The 8,014-nt window shown below is 39.9% G+C and overlaps 1 annotated feature.

Annotated features, from left to right (window-relative positions):
* Nucleotides 1-430: an enhancer, noted in NCBI's record as "active region_22948". NCBI's record gives its function as "activates an Ori minimal core promoter by ATAC-STARR-seq in GM12878 lymphoblastoid cells {active_cell/tissue: GM12878}" and the evidence as "EXISTENCE:reporter gene assay evidence [ECO:0000049][PMID:35858748]".

Raw genomic sequence — 8,014 nt, forward strand, 5'->3', positions numbered from 1 at the left:
ATCGCGAGGACAGTTCTGCTGCCAGGGGAGAAAAAGTTTATTCAGTGCCCTCTGGGACACTTGCTGACCTCTGCTCTCCTGTTCACCTCCCACCTCTTCTACGGAAACAATGGGATTTTCCTCTGGGTTAATATGACCCAAAGGGGCTGGCTGTTCTGGTCCCAGCCACATGACAGTTGGGAAGTCCCCACTTATTAAACACTGACTTCCTCGTTTCTTCGGTGTTTTCAGACATGGGGCAAGGCAAATTCAGTGTCTGGGCCTCTGCCTATAAGAATTCTGTTTCCCTTGCTATGCTGTTTCTCATCTCCACTTTCTCTTTCTCTACTCAACTAACTAATCAGCTAACTTTCTCTTTCTCTTTGATCATAGGGCTTTGTCAGTCAGTGATAAACTAGAAATATTCCTTTTCAGGGATTTAGAGACCAGGGACTATGCCAAGTTCTTAATAACTATATCAATGATCAATATTTCATAATTTATGTAATTAGAGAACATATTTTTCTATTGATTTTTATGGCCAGGCCTCAAAACAACCTATGAGGTGAAGAATCTGAAGCTTAGAGAGATTCAGCCAGTTTCTCAAAATCTCCTAGCTGTAAGAGACAGAGTTGAGGATCTGTGGTCTGACTTCAGAGCCTGGACCTTCAATCAGTAATCGATGCTACCTCTTTGTCTGGAATAGGCCTTCAGACAAGAGTAACTCACAGACAGGTGGTCCTCAAACTTCCACCCTCTCTTCAGACTGCAAACTCCCTGGGCACAGGGACAAGTCTCACCATGAGGCTAAGAGCCCTAATAATTGCATTGTCCAATACATAGAATGAAACAAATGAATAATTTTAATAATGTTTGTATGTTGAAATGATAATATTTTAGATATGTTGGATTGAAAGGTATTAGATTTGATTTTACCCAGTTCTTCTTACTTTTAAATATGTGGCTATTGGAAGTCTGGCAATTACATATGTGGTCCTCATTGGCTTCTGCTGGACAGCACTGCTTTAGAAGATGGAGGCCATGCCTTTTCTCTGAGACCAGCTGAAGCGTTCTGTTAAGGAGCTGGCAAAGGGAGGATGCCAGAGAAAAAGCTGGAAACTAAATCCTGCAGAGTCCCTAAATGAGACGAGATCTCACAAGACTAAAGCTGGCACTTTACCATGACACCTCGTTCTTCGTTCCTTTCCTCCCTAGACTCTGAGGTTTTTGATGGTTGTTGCTTTCTTGCTTGTTTGTTTATTTTTGAGAAAACGACCACATGCTCACAGGCAGGTCCCCCGGCCTCTGGCCTGCACCAGAAAGCCTTCTGTGAGGCTGAGAGCACAGCCACCCTCCTCTCCCCTGCTCTTTGTTAACATGTTTTTCCCCATTCTGCACTGCCCAGGGCTGAGAGCTGTGTGGGAGGCTGATACACAAAAGGCACAAAAGCATCCCTGGAAATATAGTGAGAAGGGGACATTTATATTGACCAGAATTCCTTTTAGGGTGAGAATCGTTTTGTTTGAAATGTAGGAATAATTTGATACTGTGCTTTGTGTGGTGGGGTGTAAAGACCCCTAGGTCCTAGTGGTTACTAAATTGCTTTCTAAAAGTGGCGATTTGGTTCATTGTAGGGCTTTCCTTCTGCTGAGTTGAGTGTGCAAGTTTGAAGCAAGAGATGAACTGCTTGGGGCAAACAGAGAGGTAGAAAACTGCCACAGGGATTCTATTCTCCTCTTAATTTACTAAGCATGTGTTCTTTTGTCAATATTTTAATGAATATTGATTGGACAAGAAAGCAAATAATTAGACTCTGGGACACTCACATATCTTAGCCTGGCGCTGGCATGCTCTGATGAAAAGCATTTTCCCTATAGCTGCTTTTACAGTCTTACCTGGTTTAGTGAAGATTGTGTCTGTGTCCAGTGATGTTCAAAGCGATGGCAGGGCTGCACATGTGCATGATGCACGCTTTAACACATCCTCTCTGGGAAAGCAAGGCAGGGGGCACTTTTTTAAACCAGAGTATTGATTTCTAAGATGTAATAAATAGACCTATTGTACTCATGAGGAATGCCAACAAATACATCTTGAAATGAAGATGTGAGGCTACCACAAAAACGGAAGAGATGGGGGAAGGCCAAGGAGATATTTGCTTAAACTACAATCATCCAGTCAATGTGAAAAAAAAACAAAAACAACAACAACAAAACCCTTCCTCAATCTTATCTCTCTCTTCCACTCAATCCCAAGAACCATAAATAGGTTATATTCCTTTTCATAACCCAAAAGCAGCACCATCTTTAATTCTTTTCTGATAATCCCTCCTTACCCTCCCCTAACACTTTAGACAGTATTCTGTATCCAGTGGATACAGGTTAAATAAATATAAGTTACTGACAGGAGACTTCTTAGCAGGGCCTGGCCATAAAGTGCCTTCATGACCAGTCCTCATCGTCTGGACTCCCATGATTGAGTAAGAGAGGCTCTCTGTCCAGAAACTGAGCATGACTTGAGCAAGCCTGTGGGCATTTGCCATTTTTCTGAGCCTAAAACTGCAGCACCTGATTCTGCACATGGTCCAGGCAGAGATAGATTGCCCAAACAGTGGGATCTGGCTCTTTCAGTTGTGGCTGGAGATTGCGTGAGACATGGCAGCTCCAAACTTCTGGGCTGCTTGGTACCCAAGGAAATTGGGGATTGATGAGTTTGCTGAGCTGTGAGAAGTTGTTTTGAACTTTTCTAAGGGAGCTAAAAGACATAGAGTCACATTTCTCCTCGGGGTACCTGGGCACCAGCCCAATAGTCTTACAGTGACCTCTTCCACACACTTTGGGTGGTTTGTTCTCTGGAGATGCCCATTCCCATGTTCTGTATGTGGGAAGTCAGGAAAAAGTCAAGAAAGATGCATTTCTTCCAAAAATTGTCATTGACTAATTCTATTCTCCTGAGGATAGTAGCAGCAATTGCTAGTAATATGTAATAGTCATATTAGCAAACACTTAATTGAAGCTTGCTGTGTGCTAGGTACTATTCTAGGCACATTGCACACACTAAGTATTTAATCCTCACAACAATTCTCAGAAGTAGGTGCCATTATTGTCCCCACCTTATAGATGTGAAAACAGAGGCACAGAGAGGTTAAATAATTTGTCTAAGATCACACATTTGATACATTCAGATTTAATCAGAGTTTGGATTCTTAATTTTACACTAGATTGCCTTTCAGTGTGTATTCATTCACTGTTACATATGTTTGTTTGCTCATATCACAGTGCGGGGAGTATATCAGGTAGAATTTACTGGCCAAATTCATCTTAGACACCAAAAAAATTGAGCCCTAGGCATAGGCTTTCACATCTCTGCAAAGCACTCGGCCACCTAGTAATGCTTTGTAGACATTTTCCCTGGAAGGCTGACTGATGTGCAGCAGGTACACATGTGATGTTGGTGGCACTCGTGTGGTAGTAAATTGAGTGGACCACATTTTTATCGTGTGGTCTATTTGGCTCTGAATGTGTTGTTGTGGCCTCTGACACAAGTTTTATTTTACGTGATCTAAATGCGAATTCTGAAGTTTCGATTTTGAGAAAAGAAAGGAACCTTAAAACATACTGGACTCAAATGCCATAATAGTCCTATGCAGACTGTGGAGGGCTCCACAAGGCAGGCTGAGGGAGGGAGAGGGTTAGAGAAGGAAGGAGGCAATGAGGGACACACAGGAAACAGGGGCCACCAAGAAACAGGCAGCAATTTGTTATCAAGCAGTCTAGAGTTTCTCATAGAGAGAGAAAAATGAATTCGGGCAACTATTTCTTGGGTAGGAAGATCATTCAGAAAGCCTGTCAAATCCAAGGAAGTCATGGAAATGGTTGTGGTTTACTGTTTGTGATAGTGAACAACATAGATCTAATTACTTTATTTAGAGTTAGCATTAAGGTTTAGATGTACTGTGTGTGTCTGTGTCTGTGTGTAAAAAAAAAAAAATGTTCGTAAGGCTGGGGGATTATGCCAAAGGAATAAACTGAACAGAATCTCTCTATCTCTCTCCTCAACTCCTCTCTCCCCTTAAGTCTTAGAAATAAGAGAAAAAAAATATAAAAATATACATGTTAAAGTAAATTTTTTTTTTTTTTTTTTTTTTTTTTGGTGAGACAGAGATGTACTCTTGTTGCCCAGGCTGGAGTGCAATGGCATGATCTTGGCTCACCGCATCCTCCACCTCCCAGGTTCAAGCGATTCTCCTGCCTGAGCCTCCTGAGTAGCTGGGATTACAGGCATGTGCCACCACGCCTGGCTAATTTTGTATTTTTAGTAGAGACGGGGTTTTGCCGTGTTGCCCAGGCTGATCTCGAACTCCTGACCTCAGGTGATCCGCCCACCTCCCAAGGTGCTGGGATTACAGGCGTGAGCCACTGTGCCCGGCCGTTAAATTAAAATGGAGACTAGGCCTGAAGAATTCCTGAGCAGACAAAACCAGTGAGGCCTCAAAAGTGACCTCAACTTTGCTTGATTTGCAAACGTAAGCAAAACTTAATGAGCTTTTTCTTGTAAATGCCTATTAAAGAAAAATAAATCTTAAGCTCAACCAATCAGACACAGCCAACAAACTTACAATTACATAACTACAGACTTTCCAATAAGATAGACCAAATAAGACAACTGTGTAACTGTAACCAATCAAACGTCTGCTTTGCTTTACTTCTACAGTTGTCCTATAAAAGTCTTCCCCTTATGCTCTCTCTGTGGAGCCCCTCAATCATTTTTTGGTTGGAGCTGCCCAATTCGCGAATCATTGTTTGCTCAAATAAACTCTTTAAAATTTTATTGTGCCTCCATTTACTTGTTAATATATGTCAAGAGAAAGTATAGCCGTAGTGGAGCAGAAATTATGAGGAACCTCTGAAAGCTGGAGGTAGATGAGATCACATTGAAGGAAGAATCTACAGCCTGAAACAGATTTAGGAGGAGGGGATGGAGGAGGGGATGACAGCCCAGGAAGAGTGCTGAACTGAAGGCGGAGGAGAAGGGGAACAGCAGGGGCCTGGTTGGGAGTTGCTTGCTGTTAAGATCTCCTGGAGGTGAGCCTCTTCCCTCTTCTAGGTAGTTGCTGCAAATCTGGGAGCCTGGGCAGTGCCCGGGGTGGTTGGGGAGGCCCGTGTGGAAGCATGAGCCCTGTGCCCAGGACTCCAGGGTGGTAACTGGAGGTGGGCTGTGATCAGAGACAGGCTAAAAGGAAATGGCCAATAAAATGATAACCTCACAACCCAAAATCACCATACCTTAGAGGATAACACCCATCATGGAAGATAGATAACATCCAAAAAAAAGAGTATCTGAAGAGACATGATTAATATAGCAACCAAGAGGAAACTTTAAAATATGTATACCTAGCATTTGCAGAGCACTGAGAGAATTGTGTTCCATACCACATCCATCCACCCGTTATTCAAATAGAAAGGTAAATTAAGACATTTTATAACAACAAAAACACTTAAAAACATACCATTTGTGAACCACGCAATAATTAATACAGAACACACTTCAGCAATATTAAAAATGAGCTTCAAAGATATGGAAAACAAACAGCAGTACTGAGCAAAGAAAGCATAATTTATAACTGAGAATTATTTAAAACACAATAAAATTTCGAACTAAAATCTCATATAATTTCAACATTGTGGGAGCTCAGAGGTCAGAGGAGGAGACAGGAAGTTACAAGTACTCATTAAAGCTAGGCTTCAATAATTTAAACATAAGTTTTTCATAAATTTGACATACATTGAAATATGTCTTAAAATTTTTAGTATAACTACTAGAAAAGCAGAAATAAGAGGAATAACCACCAACCAATTAAGGAAAAATGTGGAATAAATATAATATGTAAAAGAAATATAATCAATCCAAAAAATTTGTCAAACGGTAAAATAAGAGTCAATAACAAAGCATGGTAAATATAATACACACAAAAATGATGACTGGGACAAGTACAAAGTATGAGAAATAAATGTAAATGGTTTAAATGACTCCACATGAAACAAAGAAACACAGCTTTGAAAAATGAATACCAGATATATGTTTTTTATGAGTGACACATAAAATGGAATGACTCAAGAAAGGTGAAAATATATGGATGGGTAGAGACATTCTAAGCAAATACTAATAACAATAATGATAACAAAGGCTATTATAACATATTAATATTAGAGAAAATAGAACTCAATATTAAGATTATTTAAAGGGAAAAAACAATATATTTCATGTTGATAAAAGGTTCAATTCAACAAGAAATGTATTCGTTACAAGATGTTATGTACACCATAGTTTCAAATTTCCTAAGGCAGAAATCACTAAAAATGTGAGAAAATGTACATTAACATTGTAATCTGCGAATTTACGTGCTTGTTTTAAAAACTGATGCATTAAGTAAGCAAAATTTAAAATAAAACTATAGAAAATTTGAATAAAAATTATCAAACCTGATTTGCTTGAGAGCTATTATGATCAGAAGTTGGTTATATGGGGCTATTTACGGGATGAAAACAACATTTTGTTTAATAACCTTTCGTATATCATCACTTCCTTCTGTCCTTCCTTCATTTCCTTTCCCCTCCCTCCCTCCTTTCCTTACTTCCTTCTTTCCTTCCCTTCCTTCCCTTCCTTCCTCCCTCCCTCCCATTCCTCCCTCCCTCTTTCCTTCCTTCCTTCCTTCCTTCCTTCCTTCCTTCCTTCCTTCCTTCCTTCCTTCCTTATCAGTCATCCATGTATCTATCTACCTATCTATCTATCTATCTATCTATCTATCTATCTATCTATCTTCTATCAATCCCTATTTTATTTATGGTAAATGATTCAAACAGTACAAAGGAGAGTGAAGAAAAAGCCTCATTTCTTCCGTCTCCCTCAGTTCCCCAGTTCTCCACTCCAAATGCAGCCACCATTTTCAGTTTTCATATCATTCCAAGTAATGTGTGCCAACATAAGTTTGTACCAGTATGTGTGTATGTATGTATGTATGTTTGTATGTGTGTCTATCTAGGAATAGATATTTGCTTTTTAAAATATTTGTACTTGAACATATGTGTTTTCCTATGCGAATAAATATTTTTGCACAGCATTATTTTAAAGTTTTAAGCAGGGTTCTATTGTAAGAATGAATCTTTTTTTGTTTTTTTTTTTTGAGATGGAGTCTCATTCTGTTGTCCAGGCTGGAGTGTAGTGGCATGATCTCGGCTTACTGCAACCTCTGCCTCCCGGGTTCAAGCGATTCTCCCACCTCAGCTTCCCGAGTAGCTGGGGTTACAGGCACCCGCCACCACGGCTGGCTGATTTTTGTAGTTTTGGTAGAGACAGGGTTTCACTATGTTGGTAAGGCTGGTCTTGAACTCCTGACCTCAGGTGGTCTGCCCGCCTTGGCCTCTCAAAGTGCTGGGATTACAGGCGTGAGCCACCACACCCTGCCAAGAATGTATCATTTTTATAGGTACTTATGAGTAATGTGTCTATGACAATTCTTACACATACTTTGGTGATCAATTTGTAAAAGTAGAATCAAATGTGGATCAACATAAAGGAACATTTGTAAGACTTTTGAATAGATGTCACCAAGTTGTTTTCTGGAATGTGTTTCTTAAATTTTCATTGTGAATTTAACATAGAGTACTCAGACACTAGTCCAAGTCTATATTTAATAAGTGAGTAAAGTCTTAGCTAAGAAATTTGATAGTGATGATCTGATTGTTGAGGAATACTAAACCAGTTTCAAGTTGAAGAGCCAGGCCTTTTTTTTTCTGTGTATTCAAATCTATCAGCCCAAAGTTGCTATAGCCAAGACAAAGCTTTATTCATGTATGCTTCTTGTCAGAAGATGGCTAAACTTGAGGGTGGAAGGTGATGGGAGATCAACAAAGAATTCAGTATTTCTTGGCTTCTTTGGAAGTTCAGCTTTAAATATATTCTGTACTTCCTAATAGGATGAATAGAAATGTTCCTGAGAGGGAATGACAATATGACGAAATTTTGTTTTGGGAAGGTA

This window comes from Homo sapiens, chromosome 5, assembly GCF_000001405.40.
Source record: "Homo sapiens chromosome 5, GRCh38.p14 Primary Assembly".
Classification (NCBI taxonomy): domain Eukaryota; kingdom Metazoa; phylum Chordata; class Mammalia; order Primates; family Hominidae; genus Homo; species Homo sapiens.